The sequence below is a fragment of the Homo sapiens genome, chromosome 7, assembly GCF_000001405.40.
Source record: "Homo sapiens chromosome 7, GRCh38.p14 Primary Assembly".
NCBI lineage: Eukaryota > Metazoa > Chordata > Mammalia > Primates > Hominidae > Homo > Homo sapiens.
The window spans coordinates 30,065,448-30,085,431 of record NC_000007.14 but is presented as its reverse complement, the minus strand read 5'-3'; the positions used below and the strand labels follow the sequence as shown (position 1 = coordinate 30,085,431).

At 38.7% G+C, this 19,984-nt stretch overlaps 1 protein-coding gene across 13 annotated transcripts in view, besides 1 other annotated feature; it reads right to left on the bottom strand.

The window, feature by feature from the left end:
• PLEKHA8 (pleckstrin homology domain containing A8) overlaps nt 1-19,984 on the bottom strand; it is a 102,072-nt gene that overhangs the window by 45,052 nt on the left and 37,036 nt on the right. For 3 of the 13 annotated variants that reach the window (NM_001197026.2, XM_011515596.3, XM_017012746.2), the window contains 2 exons: nt 11,300-11,361; nt 782-6,842 (listed from right to left, as the gene is read on the bottom strand). The exons of 5 other annotated variants lie outside the window; for them this stretch is intronic. In NM_001197026.2, coding sequence (NP_001183955.1) covers nt 6,645-6,842; nt 11,300-11,361 — 260 coding nt within the window. In that variant the 3' untranslated portion in view covers nt 782-6,644. 5 more of the 13 variants (NM_001350973.2, NM_001197027.2, XM_011515592.4 and 2 more) reach the window with 3 other exon arrangements.
• Nucleotides 4,086-4,612: an enhancer, noted in NCBI's record as "NANOG hESC enhancer chr7:30120436-30120962 (GRCh37/hg19 assembly coordinates)". NCBI's record gives its function as "activates a minimal SCP1, AML or CMV promoter by ChIP-STARR-seq in primed H9 embryonic stem cells {active_cell/tissue: H9 hESC(primed)}" and the evidence as "EXISTENCE:reporter gene assay evidence [ECO:0000049][PMID:30033119]".

The following is a 19,984-nucleotide window of genomic DNA, read 5'->3' as shown; positions in this document are numbered from 1 at the left end:
ACTAATTGTTCTACATCTAGTGTCTCTGAAAACAGAATTAAACCAAGCCAAAGAACATAGCTACCTCTGAAAGGAGCGAGCCTTTCTCGAATGCTTAAAACACCCAGGGCAAGGCCATTCCAGAGGCTGTCTGATGCTTCAAAATGGTCTTCTGTTTAGGTTTTAAACAGTTTCATAAAAATTTTGGAGCTTGGGGCTGGGCACAGTGGCTCAAGTTGTAATCCCAACACTTTGAGAGGCTGAGGTGGGCGGATCACTTGAGGCCAGAAGTTCGAGACCAGCCTGGGCAACATGGTGAAACCCCATTTCTACTAAAATTAAAAGTCAGACATGGTAGCACATGCCTGTAATCCCAGCTACTCAGGAGGCTGAGGCATGAGAATCCCTTGAACCCAGGAAGTGGAGGTCACAGCGAGCTGAGATTGTGCCATTGCACTCCAGCCTGGGCAACAGAGCAAGACTGCCTCAAAAAAAAAAAAAAAGAAAAGAAAAAGAAAAAGATTTTGGAGTTTGGTTGCCTGGGTTTGTAGCCTGGCTCTATTCCTCCTAGCTGTGGGATCTTAGGCAAGGGGCTTCCTCAATATATGCCTCAGTTTTCCCAGCTGTAACCTGAGGATAACAACAGTACCTGCCCCATGGAGTTATTAGGAGGATGAAATGTTCTTATATTTGTAAACGGCTTAGACTGATGCCCAGCAAGTCATGTGTGTTCCATAAACGAGACTTTTTATTGACATATTCAATTAGGCAGAAAACCACACAAAAACCTTTAAGAACTTAATACTTTAAAAATAAGTTTATTATAACTAACGAATATAAAATCTGACAGATATTTTCAAACATTTTTGCAAAAAAAGTAAAACCCTCCCCTGTCACCCCTCCCCACAAGATAGAGAATAAGGACTTGGACAGAGAAACAATACAAATCTAAACATGAAACTGTCGCTCATCGGTTGGTCCCAAGAGGCTCCAACATATTATATTCTAAGTAAAGGTCCATTAAATTAAGAAGTTAACAAGCCACTTGACACTTTTATAGTTTAACTTGCCTTCTACTCTGATTATGATGCTCATTCAAAATGCTGAGAGACAAGAACAGGTAACATTAACACTGCACGTGACAGATATTCAAAGTGCATAAATCTATGAAACCACAAACATTCATAAGAATACTAGGCATGGAATTAAACAGTGACTTAAAAATTAATCCAAGGAAATCTATGTACATTTTAGCCTTTGGCATCTGGTCTATCATGTTTCTTCTTTATGTAGACATTAATTTGTTAAGTCTATTAACCAGATTAAATTTATCTGAACACATTTCTCATCTGACACAGATTGTCCACAGCCAATTTCACATGAGGTAGTTGGGCTGTTTAATGACATTCTAGTGAAATTCTCATGATACATGGGAATTATACATTAAACATGCCATGGAACTGGCTCATAGCCTTCTAGGAAACAACAGAAGTACTTCTAGAGCATCCTTCCTATCAACACTGACTCCATATACACCTATAAACAGACACGCATACACAGGAGTCTGTGTGGGTAAGATCGACTTTGTAAGGGGTATCAACCATCCCAGGGTGGTTTCTGTTTGTAAGGTACAGGGAGGAAATACTGACCACACTTTAAATATATGAACTATTTAGAACAAGCAGGATATTATTCTTACATTCTCACATAGCTTAGCTGAAAACATTTGTTCACTCTGGAACAGAAGTGATTAATACAGGAAACAAAGAATTTTGAAGACTTTTGCATTGCAGAGTAGTGGTATTTTTTTCCTTTTAATTAAAGGCTATATAAAAACAGCAGAGAAGAAAGATCAATGCATGCATCAACTGTACCAGAGAGGCACTGTTAATGACTGTTTAATCATGCCCTGGAGTGCCTGAATGCAGCAGTGCAATGAGAAATCATGCAAATAGTCACTGTACACAGGACTATTGACTGTCTGAGACAGGATGGGAATTGGGAACATTTACAGGGAAGGTCTAGTAAACAGTATATTTATGGAATTGTTGAAAGAACTCCTAATGACGTTGTGATACAGATAAACAGTCTTAAAATACCATTAGACAGCTAGTGAATTATTTTTTATGAAATGACTATGAAACCCCTGAGTAAGCAACTGCGGATTACAAAGGGACATACAGAAGTAGAATGTACTTCTAACGAAAGCATTCTATATACAATCCATAAGAATACAAATTTACCATACATAATGAAGTTTGTGTAGAGCCCTTACAAGATCACAAAGAGTATCTGAAGTCAGGCCCTCTAAGACCAAACACATCAGCTCAGCTAACAGAACAATGGCTAAAAATATATTTTACTTATAAACTCTACATCTAAAAATTTTAAAATTTAAAAAAGGTTGATAGATTATCTTAAAAAAAGAAATGAAACATGAGGGAGAGCTGAATACTTGTAAAACCTGTGACTAAAATCAGAAGCAACTGGTTTTAATCAGTGATTCAGAGACGCACCATTATATAACCAAGTTCTTGTAGGACATGGTAGTTTGCTAGGAAAAAAACTTAATTTTCCTCCAGGAAGCTCCCCAAATGCCTCGCATCATCGTCTATTGCTCATGACCCTCTGACTCTATTGCCTGATCTGATGTTTCTCCATATGTATGATTTTCACAATCAGATTAAGTTTCCTTAAAAAAAAATCTCTTACTTTGGCTCCTCTTTCCCTCACTTCAAATTTAGTGGAGAAAAATGTACTTTACTTATTTGGTCCCTATCACATATTTTTAATTAAAAACACTTTTCTGAAAATATAAAGTTAAAAGCATCAACTTTTTGTTAATATATTTGGAAAGTAATAACCAAAAGGAGAAGAGTGCAAATTTTTTTCCGCTGCACTCCTCTAATAATCATCTTTCCTAGGTGCCCCATGTCATGTCATTCACCCGCTTTCCAGCTACAAATGGGAATATGGGCTCCTTCTTAAGAAGCTCTTGCAGTCTGGGGGGTGGGGGAACAGAATCCCCACTGATCAGGCACGCAGCCCTGGGCTAAGGTGGTGCCAGATACTCTACATATGTGCTAGAAGCTGCTCCTGGGAAATGGGGCAGAACAAACATAAGTGGGGGTAGATTTGGTGTGCTGATGGCGGTACTGCTGGCAATTTTCAGTAGCAAAGAAGAGAGAAAAGCAACAACGCTGGACTATGGAGTTCAGAAATCCCTCATCATGGAATATGACATTGGGGGAAGTTTAATAATCAGAATAACATGCAAAAAATGATAAGAAGGTGCCTCAAGCCACTACTTATACATCCTAATGAGAACTACCCTTCGAAGTCAATGTCTTGGGCCCACAGGCTCAACATTCTGTGAGAGCTCCTCTTCTGGAACTCCCTTCAGAGCTACATCAAGAGCCAATGAGAAGACCATCTTCTCCTCATAGTTACAATTTGGTTTCACTCCCAAAAGGGATCTCTCCAATTTAACATTTTTCACCAGCATTAGCTATAAGGAATCTGACTTGCTTTCAAAAGTCAAGAGACTTGCCATCATTGAAAATATTTTGTTTAATTCAACAAATACACCCTGATCCCTACAAAGTGTAAACACTGGCTTTTACCATAGAGAAAAGTACAGGCACGATGAAATTGTGTGGAAATGTCTCATAAGGGGTTAGCCTAATGTTACTTATTTGTGTCTACAATACCTAGTAGACCAATTTCCTTTTTCTTCCAGTTCTCTCTAAAGGTTACGCTAGAAAAATAATCCTAAAAATGCTTTGAGCGATGAGAACAAAGTGATTACTCTGCCAACAAAATACTAGAGTTTTCTCACCTCCTCTCACAGTAATGGTGAAAGTAAATTTAGTTGTCCCAGAAGTCTTGGAGGGCTATGGAGAGAAAGCTTTAAATATCTTTTCTCATTGCCCTCTTCTTGGAAAGTGATTACACATCAGCGCAAATTATGACTTTAACTAAAACAGAGAGCAAATACTTTAGATGTAGGAGGAAGCTCTGACTATGCCAAGGTTCAGGTTAAGCTGAATTTACTGTTTAGTATTAGGTTCAATTTCTAATTTCTAATATTTTTATTTAAGGATCCTCAGTTCCTTAAGCAAACTTTTACACATCTTAAACAAACTTTTATACATCTTAGGCAAACGTAATATGCTCCAGTGGGGAAAATACCTATTAAAAAATATTACCCTCTTTCTACAGATGTGGAAAAAGGGTAATTGGAAAATGTAACTTATTCAAGCTATTCTGTCTGATCTGGGTTCTCAATGATCTCAGATAATATTAAGCCCCTCATTCCCAGCAAATTAAGTTGTGTACATCTAGTCACTACCTATACAAATGCAAAATGGCCATGCTGAGCAGCTTTCCTTTTGTGTGTATTCAGAGTTGCGGTGGCAAACCTGAGGTATTTTCAGAGTGCTACCTCTCCAAGAGACCACAGAGTTCACCTGAGGTGACAGGGAGCACCAGCAGCTGTTTAGAATGATCACACTGCACAATTCTAACAACCACCTGGTATCATCCCCGCTAAATGGTACAATGCCTAAAACATCTTCATTCAAAGTACAAGCAAAAACTGGCTTTTTCTTTTTCCGTTTTAGGGGGCTATGTCAAGGGCAGGGACTATCCCCGAGTCCTGCCATCATATTCATACTAATCAGAGAAGGAGATCTATACTCACTGCTCATGAGAGTGGGAGGGAAATAACACACACACACCTTGGCAAAATACAAAATAATCAACATCATTTTAATACCCCCCTTCTTTCTCCCTAGCTTTAAAACATGTGATGTTGATTTTTCAAGTTTAAGTATTTTCCAGAAGTCTTTATGTGGGCAAAATACCTAATTAATCTGAGCTAAATAAATGTTCATTTGTTTAAAGACACACAAAGGCAAAACCAATACCCCTCCCTACATAAACTTCTCTGACTAAAGAGAGAATTCTCTCCATCCTAGAGATCTGCAGCAGGAACAGCATCATCTAGAGATGATGCTCTCAATTCAACCAAGCCCCTCAAAGGACCTTCTACCCTGGATAACTACCTCATGCTGGAACTTCCCTTCCTGTTACTAGAAGGAAGTAGCCTCTAATGGGGAAGGTACCCATGGCTTCTCTCCGATGCACACTCGAGGCAGCATGGTCTACTGAGACTAGGGCCAGGGTTGGAGCATCACACTGTGCAGAAGAATGCCCACTCAATATTGTTTTATGAAACAATGTTTCTTAAGTTTTAAGAAGTTTAAGAAACTGTTTTCTTAAGTCTCATCTTTCAACTATGACACTGTCCCAAAGCTTTTGAGATTGATAAACAGCTGCATTTTGCCTGCTCTGCACTTTTGGTGATTAAACCGAGATTGATTGGTAAGCAGATTCAGAGTCATGGTCCCCGAATGCAATGCAAAGGCCTGCTGGCTGGGTGTCAATGCTGGCTCAATTAAGAATGCTGCTGAATGAACCTGCTCCACTTCTCACTCTCCATTTAGCTATTTTATTTAAATAGCAGCCTTATCCTCTTTGAAAAAAAAAAAAAGGACATATCATTTAGTTCTTGAAGAAAACTGGTAATTTTGTAAACTAGAATTTAATCTAGTTGCTCTTCAATACTGTGTGCAGAAGAATCACGTGTAAAGTTTACTGAAATGCAGATTCCTATGTCCCACCACCTAGACTCTGGTTCTTTAGGCCAAAATAAGGCCTGGGAATCTGCTGTTTGAACAAGCACTCCATATGACTTTGATGCAGAGGCAGTCCAGGTCACACTTGGAAATTATCTGGCTCCTCTGCTTAAAAACTATGTGACTGTGAACAGATCCCTCAACTTCTAAACCTTGCTTTTGAAGTGGAGTAATAATCCCTCTGGGTATCATTACTTGTGATGTCCAATTGAGATAATGCATGGGGAACATGCTGGTAAATGGTAGGCAGTTGGGAGGTGTCATCTCAAATGACCTGTCCCACCTCTCTCATATTCTCCCCTCCAACTTGGGGCTAGGGCACACCATTAATCTTCTCAGAGCAACGGTTTCATGCCTGTCAGCAAGGATGGGACTCCTGTCCACGTCTTCTTCGCCTCCCACAATTGCATGGTCATGTGAATGCCCTGAACATCTTTACTACACAGGCCCTTATCACTGACAGAGTTGCAGTGAAGAGGGTCCACTGAAGAACATCTAGGAACAGCAAACTCTACACAGCTTCAACAAAGCAGCTTATACTACCTCCAAATGTCTAGTCTAAGTTGGCTGAAACACTGGCTATGAATTATGGTACTTAATATGGAATTTGCTGATTTTCAGCTTGGGTTTGGGTGGCCCATTAGACTAAAATATAAAAACAATACAATACACAATAACAGCAAATTTGTTTGTTAAATCTGCTCTTATAACTTGCTGTTCAAGTCTACAGCAGCTTATCATTTGGTTTCCAGTAGGCCTGCTGAACTGAAATATATAGCACCTTGATCTTTAAACAAAACACATATGCATTTTAAAAATTATAAAAGCACTGGGTTTTGCCACCTCCTGTCCATCCCCCCAGGTGAAGGGGTTGGAGAGGGTTGAGGCTGTTGCTGGAAATTAAGTAGGGCAACAAAACACTTTAGCACTTATTCCCTGAAGTTAGGAGGTGCTGCCCAGCAGCCATCATACCACCTCATCAGATTCCAGCCCGTGGACCTCATATAAAGTGTCCAGTATGGCCAGCTGCTTCTCCATGGCAGGGAGGTAAAGGCTGAGGTCCCTCTGCATCCCAATACTGAAAGCTTCTTTCTGGTGGTCACCTTCCTTTACGGTTAACGCGGCCACAAAATCTTCATAGGATGGAGCTGCCCTTAAAGCTAACTGCAAAAGAATAACCCATGAGAATCTGCATCAAGTCTGTCTCTCACACTCTTATTTTTATGCATGTGCACATGCACACACACATACTTTCACACATACAAACAGCTGAGAAGAGCAAGAGTAAAGAAATATGACTACCCTTCTAATTTGTGGCTTCTCTAAAATTATGTTTCAAGGGCCAATTCAAATAACTTTAAGGCTAGAAGAAACAAGCATGTACTTGGGCCACCTTAAGGATAAATAATGCTATCACATCAGGGAATGCTGAGAGAGAGAGTCTGAGAAAAGCTCCCTTCTGATCCACAGTGTGATCCAGACTATTCCCCTCAAATCCTCAGAATCTATATGCATGTTGCCATCATGGTCTTTATTCCCACATGGCCTGTCTTCTGGGGCATCTCATTCTCTTATTTGTATCTCATCTCTATATATTTCTTTGCGTATCTTCTATTTTTCCCCCATAAGAATAATCTTTCCTTTGCACTCTTGAATGCTTTCTAGAAAGGAAGGGAGCTAACATTTATTGTTTGCTTGTGCGCTGATGCTTTAACATAGTTTATTCTAGCTGATCTTTATAAGAACCCTGTACAGTTTATATCTCTATTTTATATATAAACGTCATACAGCTAATGAGTGCCAGGGCTAGGATCTGAACTTGGATCATCTCTGTGTTTTTCAACCACACCACCATATTATGCCACTTGCCTAACAGATTTCCTAGGCATCTTATCCTTCTCTTCCTTTGCGGGCCAATATTTCCTAAGCTTGCTAAAATCTGTTTTCTGGCGGTCACTAGATCTCAGCAGAGGCTTTTTGAAGAATCTTGAATTATCATTCCACAGTTGCTTTCCTGATCTTCCTTATACTTTGAAAGTCTTTGAGAATCAGACCTCCCCATTTTTGCAGTAAGAGAGTGACTGGCATTATCATGCAGTGGCTAAAGCACAGACTTAGATGAAGCAGACCTGGACTTGAATCTCAGATCTTTCACATACCAGTTTGAGGAATTTATGCAAAGTGCTTAACTTCCTAGAATCTCAGTTTCCTTATTTATAGAAGAAGACTAATACCACTTTCCTTATTTTAAGCATTAATGGGATCTGTAGGAAGTGTTTAGCCCACTGCCTGGCACATGATAAATACTTAAGATAATGGTCAAAGTACAAGCGAGTGGGAAAACTGAAAATTAAGAGAAGGCAGTTATCCAAAAACATAACAAAAGAAAATCTCCCAGAACTGGAGGATAGGAGTCTCCAGATTTAAAGACCTAATCAAGTGCTCAGCATAATGAATGATAAAGACCAAAAGGGCACATCATGAAATTTCAGAATGTGGGGAAAAACAATCTAAAACATTTCGAAAGGGACAAGGAACAGATTATATATAATAGAATAGGATTTCACAATAGTAACAGTAGAAGCTGGAGGACAATAGAGGAATGCCTTCAAAATTTGGAGGGAAAATGTTTATTAACCTAGAATTCTACACTCAGCCATCAGCACTCTAGAAAAAAAAGGGGAGAACCAGTAATAGAGTTCAACTGTCTAGTCTGATTGAAGAGGAAACCAAAAAGGTCAAATGAAGGCTAGTTAGTGACCAAGATGGAGGCAGCCACCTTGCCTGAAATGGCTATCAGCTCAGTAGAGTATAACTGCTGAAAGATTAAAAGGTCACTATTTGGCTGATAAATAAGTCAAATTCCTTGGATGTAAACAATGTTTCCCTCAGCAACCGAGATTAGTTAACATGAATTTGGCTCTGCAAGTTAGCATGTTAGAAAACTTATAAACCTTCCAAAGTAGGCATGACTTGGAGAGTAATAGGGTGAAAAGGCCAATCTAGCTACAGAATTAACTCCTCTATTGATAAGGCTGTTGCCAAATGCATTACATAATCTATTTTCTTAAAAACCAGCACCTTTATTGGCAATAATATTTAAAGCCTTCAAGATGTTTTTACTCTACAACCTTGGGTATATTACCTCATCACTTTGTGTCTCAGGTTTCTCTGTCTATAAGCAGGGAAAATAATGGAATCTATCTCAGGATTATGAGACTTAGAAATTTATGTATGTCAAGCACTTAAAACAACATCTAGTGCATGTTAAGTGCTCAAAACTGTAAACTGTGGTTGTAGTTCTTAGTATTCGACATAGCAGTTCTACTAGGAATTTATTTTGAAGAAATAAGAATTTTATTCAAAAATGCATATAAACAGATGCTGTTTTATTTCTAACCTGTTTTATTCTAAACTTAGAAGCAGTTTAAGTCTCTCACACAGAGGACTGAGCAAATAAATTATGATATCTCCATACTAGGAAAATATTATACAGACACTAAAAATAGTGTTTTTTTCAAAGACTATTTTATGGCATTTAAAAATGATAATGATAGATTCTATTCAGTTGGGGGGATATAAAATTATACAAGCTAAAGGTAGAAAAAATGTATATACATATACAGAGTAAGTATACAAAATAAAGACAATTATACACATATACTATATGCATGTATAAACATCTATATTATATTTAAGTATATAAAATAGATCAATATTTAAAAGAATATGTAAATTAAAAAGCTAAGACAGTAAAATACAAAAATGTTAAAAAAGGAAAATATGGACAGTTTTAATTTCTTCTCTTTCTACCATGATTTCTAAAATTTTTTATGAGTCTAAATTAGTATAATAAAGTTAAAAAGTCCTCCTAAAGACTTATGCTTTGCATCCATTAAAGTACAGGGTAAAGGAAAAAAAGATTTATGCTGATAAGTTTTCTACTATAGCTGCATTCTTATTGACAATATCTCTGGGATCATCAATATTTCAGGATTAAATTTTGCATTCTATACTGAACCCTTCCCCCCACACTTGTTTTGGGGCAACTCAAGTGTCAGGCACAAGCTAGCAATCACAATAATCACAATATTCATTCAGGGAGATCAATGACCACAGTGAGCATCCATTGCCTAAGAACTCAGTAGAGGCCTCTCAGTGATTGTGTCTTCACTGCAGAGAGCTCTAATGGAGGTAAGCACTAGCACCTTGGAGATAACAGATCTGAGTTTAGACCTGGGCTCTGACATAGCCTCACTCTGGTACTTGGGGACTGGAATTAATTGTTCTGAATTTGTAAAATAGTGGGAGTTAATCCTGAGAATTAAGATAAAGAATATGAAAGTACCTGTTAAGAATGCCTGGTACACAACAAGTGTCCAATAGCTACATGGTAGCCATTATGATTATTCAAGGTGTATTGAAGGTAAGGGTGAGCAGTCTGTAGCTTCATTTGGTCCAGCACCTATCCCAGTGAACAGTGAATGGGATATGGAGCTTTAATCTCCATGCTTTCAAAAAATATTTCATTTTCATTAGAATCTGATTTGTTGTAGTGTACATTCTTCCCACTTTACCGCCCTCCCTAATAAAGCACGACCCAAACAGTTCTTTCTTTAGGCAAATGATGCATCCTTTACATCAGTAAAAGATACCATCTGCAAGGCTACTTTATTCCCCAACCTTCCAAAGAATGTGAGTACATTCTATGAGGTTTCCTGACATACAACTGCATGAGACTGCCTTTTCATGACTAGATTTGACTAAGACTGACCTTTTCCTGGATGGGAAGAATCACAGAGTGTATTGCTGACATAAAGGAGCCATCTACTCCTGCTATTTTATAAAGCAGTCTAAGTGACTTCCCCAGGAGACTAAGAGTCTCAGGTTTGTGTTCTTCCTAGTTAAACATGCTGGGAAGAAGAGGGTGGTGGGTAATCAGAGCCAAAACACATGAATACAAAACACCTTCACAATGAAAATAACTGGCTAAGAAGAGATTTCTAGCCCTCCTAGCCACTGGCACACCCAATACAGTTAATATTCAAGGACAAAATTCAATTAGTGAAAAAAAAATCAACTAAGACCTAAGAATTAAAAGGAATGAATACAATGGGCAGCAGAGGGAGCTATTAGGTTGACTTCATCACCTGAATGCATCATTTCCCTTCAATGATAAGTATTTAGGATCACTGCTTCCTACGTACTTCTGCTAGGATACTTAAGCTTTTTACTACCTTATCAGAAAGGCAACCACTTATGAGGCAAATCTTCACAAGGTCATTGGAATTGGCTAGAGTAATTAGAATTGGCTAGGGTAAAGCATCAACTCTTTTATTCATATTTCTTTAACAGTCTTTGCTATTCCAGACACTTTTTACTGCTGACATTTCCACACACCAAAGGCCTATAAACGTAAATGAAATAAATAACATTTTGTTCTTATCCTCAAAAACAAAGCAAACAAAAACACCACACATACACACACACACACACACACACACACAACTTTGTTTCTGACAATCATGACTAGATAAATAACTGGGTAAGAAGAGATTTCTAGCCCTAGCCACTGGCATACCCAATACAGTTAATAATAGGAGACAAGAAGGATCACTTACCGCAAAAACCCCTCGAACTACCCAGCCATGGTGTTGCCGCAATGTTTTACCATATGCATTATCTTGAAAAGAAGAAAAACTCCATGAGGAACACTTTCATCAGAATTTGATGTGCTATTTGTATAATGTACTTTTTTTTTTTTTAAAGAGACAGGGTCTTGCTCTGTCACCTAGGCTAGAGTACAGTGGTGTGATAATAGTTGCAGCCTTGAACTCCTGCGCTCAAGTGATCCTCCTGCCTCAGCTCCACGAGTAGCTAGGACTACAGGTGTGGATGACCATGCCTAGCTAATTATTTTTAATTTTTTGTAGAGATGAGGTCTCGCTATGTTGCCCAGGCTGTTCTGGAACTCCTGGGCTCAGGTGATCCTCCCACCTTGCCCTCCTAAAGCATTGGGACTACAGGTGTGCACCACCATTCTTGGCCATATTTGTATAATGCATAGTAGCACGATACTATTGGTATTTGGAAATTATGAAAAAAATCTAATTACAAGATTTTGGACCCAAAAAATCTAAAGCAGTAAAAAAGCTCACATGGAATTTTTTTTTTTTTTTTTTTTTTTTTTAAGAAACACAAATACTTCCACTCTTACTCTGGGTCAATCAATATATCTGAACTTCAGCTTATTATCATGGTGGGAAAAGGTCAATACATATAAAGAAACAAAGAGGGAGGAAAGGATATTGAAAAATTGAGACAATACAATTAGAAATACTTTGAAATGTTCTGTGACCGTGAGCCAGTCCCTTAGCTGCCCTCTCTAACCATCTGTTTCCTCCTTTGTAAAATAATCTCTAAGATTTTTTCCAATTTTAACATTCTATTCTGGGATGCCAAATGTTTGTCCTAAATGACCCTATGACCCTGGATATACAGTATTTAAGCTAGAAACCTTCAAAAATATTTATGGAAAGAATGGCTTGAAGTTATTAAGCTAAAGTAATTGGTGAGAACTATATTAATAAAAGCCATTCATGTTTCATACTTTAATCTATAATTTTTGTCCCAATGTATTTTAAAAGGAGATTTTGAAACTGGCATATCATAATTTTAATTATGAAAAAAATCCCAAGAACCAGATGGATGCATTTTATGCAAAGGATGCGTTCCTGAAATTTGAATAATTCAATATATGCAAAATTCAAAACTGATTTCTCCACAGGATTAAATGCATTCTCAGGAGGCACAGATCTACATCACCATGGTGCATTTTTATTTCAATGTTCCACTTTATTTCCTAAGCATCATCTCCAGTAGCAACAGAGCACTCATTTCTAAATTAACAGCACAGTGTACCATGGGGGCTATTTGACCTTCTTCATGTTTCTCCATATCTAAATTCTATTCCAAGCATATTTATTTTCATGTGCTAGTTTTAGCACCAGCACAAGTACTACCACCATTTCATGAATGCTTAGTGTGACATTCTAAGCCTACAAAAATATTTTCAATTCTAACAAGAGAAGATGTTAAAATAACAGATAAACAGACACTAAAACCACAAGTACAAGTTCCTATGCAGTGAAAAGCAACGTGGTTCACAGGACATTGCCAAGGGAAGTCAGGTATTTATTTGCATTTTACTGGCCAAAATGGCACTGCCATGTGGCTACAGCTTCAACCCAGTTTACAATCAACTCAAGCCTTCCAGCTTTGAAATTATGTCATTCTAGTCAACTTTATTTTAAAATTGGAGTGAGGCTTTATTAATACTTTTAGAATATCCTATTTCAATTTTACATATTCAAATTTTCACAAAATGCAATTATATGTTATATAAAATACATACTCAATACATATTGCAATATATTTTATATAAAAGACTGTACATGTGAAATAGAACAACAGATTCCTTTGGCTCTCTAAAGCTTAGGAATATGCTGGAATGCCAGTATCCAGTGTGTTAAAGCTAAAGCAGAAGCAATAAGTGATAATTAATACATTCAAGTATGAAGAAGACTCTTAGAGCCTAAAGGAGAACCCAAAATTAAACTTTTTTCTTAGGAGAACAGTCTGAGTAAACTAGGGCATGATCAAAGATACATGTCTTCAATGTAAACCAAACAAAACGTAGGTGATTCCCTGTAAGAAGACATGGCATCAGGGAAATTTCAGATGGCATACAAGACCTTAGTGAGGATATCCTGAGAAATGTGAAGAAAGGGGTTGCTGATTCACAAAGCGTACAGTACAGATGGGCAGAGAATACTAGGTACAGCCTCTGATAAAAACCAGCAAGACAACCAAATTTTCAACCATTTGAGCAGCCATCTGGGCTGGCAAGAGGGTGTACAGGTCCATGGAAAACATCCTGAGGTAAGTTACCAAGGTAAGATACTGTGAATCCTTTCTTTCTTGTGTCAGTATTCCATGCAGGGCATTAAATGCCATTATAAATAAAGAAATACCATTAAAATCTGCTGGTGGATATCTACCATGAACACCTGCTCTATTCAACAAGAATTCAGGGCAAGTCTACCACACAGTAGTATCTTTAGGTGATTTAAATTCAGTCAATTCCCTGTCCTCAAGAAGTTGATGGTTTATAGAAGAGCCAGTCATTTAACAATCATTATTGTATAAGTCAATAACTGCTAGAGTAGCTATCTGTATGCAGTGCTACAGGAACAGTAAGAAGGGAGAAACTAATCCAGTCTGGGTTGGGGGTGAGGCGTGTGGACACAAAGAATTCTCAGAAGGAATCCCGAAGGCTGGGTAGGGTAGAGAGCAGAGTGGTAGATGGTGCGGCAGACAGAGCGAGCATCACAGCGTTGTGAGAGCTCATGGCATGCTGGGCGATGGTGAGCAAAATTCATTGGATCTGAAGAACACCAGAGCTTGCAAACTGGGTTGGGCCAAATTGTGAGGACCTTTATCCATCATGTCAAAGATTCTGATCTTCCACCTAAGGCACAGTGGAAGTTTTGAAAAATATAACATTTATCGCTTTTTTTGGGTTTCATGATTGATGTCCGTTGTTGAAAATAAGGAAAATATTTTAAAAGGAGAGAACTAAAGAAACCTATAATCCTTTCTCCCAGAGATAACCACAGTGGGTATTCAGGAAAAATATTCTGCTAGTTTTTTCCCCCTGTACAGAGAACATTACCTTCTTCTGTCAGCAAAGTCATGATCATTCTGATTCAGAATTGTGGTAGGGAAATAACAAGTTGAAATTCACACTTCTTTACAGTCTGTAGCAAGTAACAGCTATCCTGGTGCCTGAGCCTCCAGCTCCAAGGCCCACCTGGCTAGACAGAATGCTTGTTTAAAAGAGCTCTGGGCCAGGCACGGTGGTGGCTCACGCCTATAATCCCAGCACTTTGGGAGGCCGAGGCGGGTGGATCACAAGGTTGGGAGCTCAAGACCAGCCTGGACAAGACGGTGAAACCCTGTCTCTACTAAAAATATAAAAATTAGCCAGGTGTGGTGGTGGGTGCCCGTAATCCCAGCTACTCGGGAGACTGAGGCAGAGAATTGCTTGAACCTGGGAGGCAGAGGTTGCAGTGAGCCGAGATCACGCCACTGCAGTCCAGCAGCCAGGGCGACATAGAAACTCTGTCTCAAAAAAAAAAAAAAAAGCTCTGGATTCGCTGCTATGCCAACCTCAGAGACCTTATACCTTTCCTATACATTGCCATTCAAGTTAACCGTTCAAAAAAGCCTAGAAACTCTTTTCCATGCCCTCTTCTAAAAGACAGCAAAAAGACAAGGAAGACAAAGGTGCTGTGAGTCCAAACAGCATGGGGAGTCTGGCTTAAGGATGGGAGAGTGTTTGTACAGCAGCACATCTGTCTTCCCACTTGGCCCTAGTAGACAAAGAAGCTGTTCCTTGTTATGCTTATACCTTGCCAAAGGAGAGTTCCACCTGGCAAAATGTGGGCCAGATGACCTAATGGGAGAAGGTGTGTCAAAAGAATTTGGGCTGGGTCTTGACTGAGATCATTGCTGCAATTTAAAACCAACAAATGAAATAAAAGTCATAAAAAAAAAAAAACACTTCCCAAAGTCCTTAGCTGACTTCTACGCTGCAAATATCCCTGCCATGTGAGACTGATGGCATTAAAATAAGATGAAGTCTAAGCCTGACCTATTTTGGTTACCTAGAGAAGATTAGATAATGAAATACATTAATCTTCACTGTAATACCCATTCATTATCATCATGCATGTTCTATAATCTGGGAGTATTTTTGGCCTCTGAAAGACATAAATGATACCCTTCTCCCAGTTCTTTGAGATGTGTCAGTTCCCCAGAAACTGAGTCAAAATTTCTAAGTAGGAAGCCTTGACAATCACCTTGCCTAATTCTTTTCCTTTTAGAAATGAAGACATGGAAGACCCAGAAAGGTAGTGACTTTCCCAAGGTCACAAAGTTAAAAGCAATGAGACCTGGGGACACTCTTGTTGCATCACACCATTCTGTCAAAAAAACTGGTGTTTACTCTGTAAACAATGTAATAAAAATGAAAAATATGCCTTTTCCAATCCTTTTCTGAAAGAATTGGCACCTGGTTATGGAAACAGCACAGCTCTCATTCATTTACTATTAGTAACTCAGAAACTTGCTATCAGGTATTTAGAGATTATGCCTAAAGCTTTTATAGTAACTGAGAGAACAACCCTTCCATTACTGTTGGTGAACAACCATTCTGTCCAGGAACTTTGTATACAGGAAAGTGTTTTTCTACTGTAAACCTATAATTGGTAAAGTTATTTTGGCTTATAGAGAAGACGAGAGAAATGTCAATCTAAGTCTTAAGAGAAAGCCTGGGAAGTAGAGAACCAAAGCCAGAAAGGGCGGAATTACTCACTGGGCTGAGGAAATGACAATCATAGTTCTGCAAATGTGCTCAACTAGACAGTTCTGAGGCAAGAATTAGGAACCAGGAGATTTGAAAGCAGGTAGTCAAGTCTGGCAGGAGGCTGGTGGGAAACAGATAGGCACCGGGGAAGTGTGCTTGCCCTAAGATCCTACGAGTTCTAGAGAGAACGGTCCAGTAACTCACTTAGAATAGTAAGAACCTTCATCCTATAACTCATGTCTTTTTAAAGCATAGGTGGGCAAAAGAACAATGGACCAGAATATGGAGTCTAGAACAGATCTCTCTCTCTCTCTCAAAGTTGGTATTACATACAAGTGGGGAAAAGAATGGGTGATCCAATAAATGCTGCTAAGACAACTGGCTTTCTGATTGGAAATAATAAAATTATATCCCCACCTTACACCATTCACAAAAATAAATTCCAGGAAGATTAAAGACATAAATATGAAAGCAAACCTACAAAACTTCGAGAAGAAAATGTCAGAGAACATCTCTGTGACCTCAAGGGAGAGAGGGATTTCTTTAAGAAGTACAATCCATAAAGAAAGAATGACATGTCTGATTACATAAAAACTGAAACTTCTGTATACCAAAAGACACCATAGATAAAGAGCAAACGCAAGCCACAGACTGACAGAAGACATTTTAACCCATAACTGAAAAAGATTAGACATTTTAACCCATCACTGAAAAAGATTAATATCCAGGAAATATAAAGAACTCCCAGGAGTTGATAAAGAAAACCTAAGAGAAAGGTGGTCAAATACATGAACAGGCAACTCACAGAGAAGGATATCAAACTGCCAGTGAAGACAGGAAAAGCTACTCAACCTTACTTGTAATCTAAGAACAAAAACTTTGGCAATATTCTATCATTTTACAGCCATCAGGCACAAATTTAAAAGGCTGACAATGACAAGTGCTAAAAAGAATGTGGAGTATTGGGAACTCTCACTACTCTGCTGGTAATTATAGACTTTGGAGAGCAATTTGGCAATATCTAGTCATGTGGTTCAGCCATTCCAATTGTATTATGTACTACAGCAGCAATTCCCAGTGTAGTCTCCAAACCAGCAGCCTCAGCATCACCTGGGAACTTGTTAGAAATGCAAAGTCTCAGCCTCAAGTCAGGCCTACAGAGCAATCTGTGTTTCAAGGAGCCTTCCAGGTGAGGCTAATACAGGTTAGAGTTTGAGAACCACTGTTCTGGCAGCACAGCTTCTCAAGCAGTAAGGCCCCATGAACTACCAGTCTGTAGACAGCCAGAGTCCCTGGACCAGTCCCTCTTAGCTATGAGAAGCCTCCTCCTTTTTCTGGTGTGCTGTCTGGACATAATTTTCCATATGATAGAGAACATGTGTGAAAGGAACGTGTACATTGTAGAATTGCTTTTAATGGTGAAAATCTGTAATCAACTGTGTCCATTAACAGTATATTAGTTTTTCGAAACCATGGTCTATTCATACAATGAAATGCTAAACAGCAAGGAAAATTAATGAGCCAGGACTACAAGCCACTTCAACAGTGGCTAAAGTCTGAAAATACTGAGTGAAGAAGGAAGAATGTGCACAATATGATACCTCATATACAAGTTTAAAACATGTAGTCCAATGCTAGATGCTGCTTATGGACACATAAATATATAGCAAAAGCATAAAAACATGTATTACATAATGAACTACGCAAATTCAGGATGATGATCTCTGGAAAACGATGGGAGTCACGGGATTAAGGAGTGACACGTGGGCACTTAACTGTATTGAACTATTTTTTTCTATTAGGTCAAGTGGTAGATATTTGTTAAATGCCTAAATTATTTATAATTTTCTTTTTTGAGACAGAGTCTTGGTTTGTCACCCAGGCTGGAGTGCAATGGTGCAAACATGGCTCACTGCAGCCTCAACATCCCTGGCGCAAGTGATCCTCCCACCTCAGGCCCCCAAGTAGCTAGAACTACAGGCTGGTACCACCACACATGGCTAATTTTTGAATGTTTTGAAGAGACAGGGCTTCGCCATGTTGCCCAGGCTGGTCTTGAACTTGTGAGCTCAAGTGATCTGCCTGCCTTGGCCTCCCAAAGCGCTTTGGCATGTATTTTTAAAAGCAGAGCTACTAGGAGAGTAACCTCTGAATTCTTTATAGTGACTATGCTTAAGGCAAATTGACTTGTATGGACAATAACCAGTGGAAAGAGGTCAAACAAGCACCCAGAGATGCCCTTTGTTAATTTCAGGCACTGTTAAGACTAACGCTTGTGCTGCCAGCCAATCCTGCCAGTGGAGGCATATGCTGCAAATGGTTCTGGAAAGAGTATTACAATTCACATTCCATAGTATTTTCAGAATGGCCAACTTATGATTTGATGTCAAATATCTGATTATGAGTTCTGACTTTATCTCTCTCACTTATCTCTCCTTATCTGTGAAAGCCTTTCATATTAAATACATGACTGAGCATCCTTTTAAAATTTTTTCTATTCTGTGCCAGAAAAGGATCTTGGTTGGGTTAACTTTTACTGACATTTATGGGATCATTCTGAGATGAGATATGTGGCAATATGTTATCCCACTGAGCACAGAGCATATAACATTTAATACAATGGTGCATGAAATGCCAGAGCAACTTTTCTTCCTTCCACTTGCAAGGATGCTTTCCAAAACCTCTTTCTGATGTGGAATATGCAATGGAGAGGGGGACTCAGCTCTAAAGCAGATTATTAAACATATCTGCCTTGTGAACCCAACTCCCTCCTGAAAATGACCTCTAAAGAATGTTAGGACACTAAGGGAACACAGCAGCTCTTAGCATGAAACCACCCAAAATGTTCCACTCTGATTATCATTATGGGGAAGCCAAGTGATGGCTCAAGTGCAAAAAGGGGCAGTGTAAAGTCTAAGGCTCCTTCCAGATGCTGGAAGTATTCCAGGTCACAGAACTGCAGCAATACAATAACTAGAGATGCATTTTCCAGAAAGGTAAAGGAGACAAGGCTTCTACAATGTTATTTAGGACTTCTACATATAAATGTACTATTTCCAAGGCCATTAAGACCATACAAGTTTCATGAACATTCACCTCAAACCTTACTTAAGCAGTATTTTTATTGGAAAGCTGTCTAATTATGATGAAAAGGAGGAAAATAAACTGATGCTATAACTAATTTCAGCAGTTTTACTCCTGCTTATTAAAAATCTCTTAGATGCAGTCAAAATCACAAAATTATCAAGATGTAGACAAGTGACAGGTGAACCTCAAAGGCCTAAGTCTAGATGACTAGGTCTCAAACTTCAGCATGGATTAGAATCATCTGAAAGACTTGTTAAAACACGGACTGCCAGGCCCCAGCCTCAGTGTCTGATTCAGCAGGTCTGGGGTGGAACCGGATAGTCTGCATTTCTAATGAGTTTTCAGGTGATAAAGATGCTGCTGACCTTGGAACAGCTTGAGAACCACCGATGGAGATTTTGAGACCCTAGGGAAGGTATTTATCCTCTTTAAACCTCAGTTTATTCACTGGAGAGTATTTGGAAGATTAAATAAAATATTTATCAAAAACTTAGTGTAGTAGTTACACTGGGTGCTCTGTAAGTGATAGCTGTTTTTAAATTCAACTTTAGAATTTAAAAAAGCCAACAAACTTGCCTATATATGGCATATAAATTGCACACACTCTCTTTTACCTACTCACTCACCCTCCCTCATTTCAAACAAGGTATCAGTTCTACTTATGAAGGCTGGGACTTCAAAATGAGAAAAAGGAACCATTATCCCAGAAGAAATATGCATCAAGGAGCCTACAGGTTCTGAGTAACTATTGTGTAAACATTTCTCAAAAAACCGTTTACGCAGAGCTTGT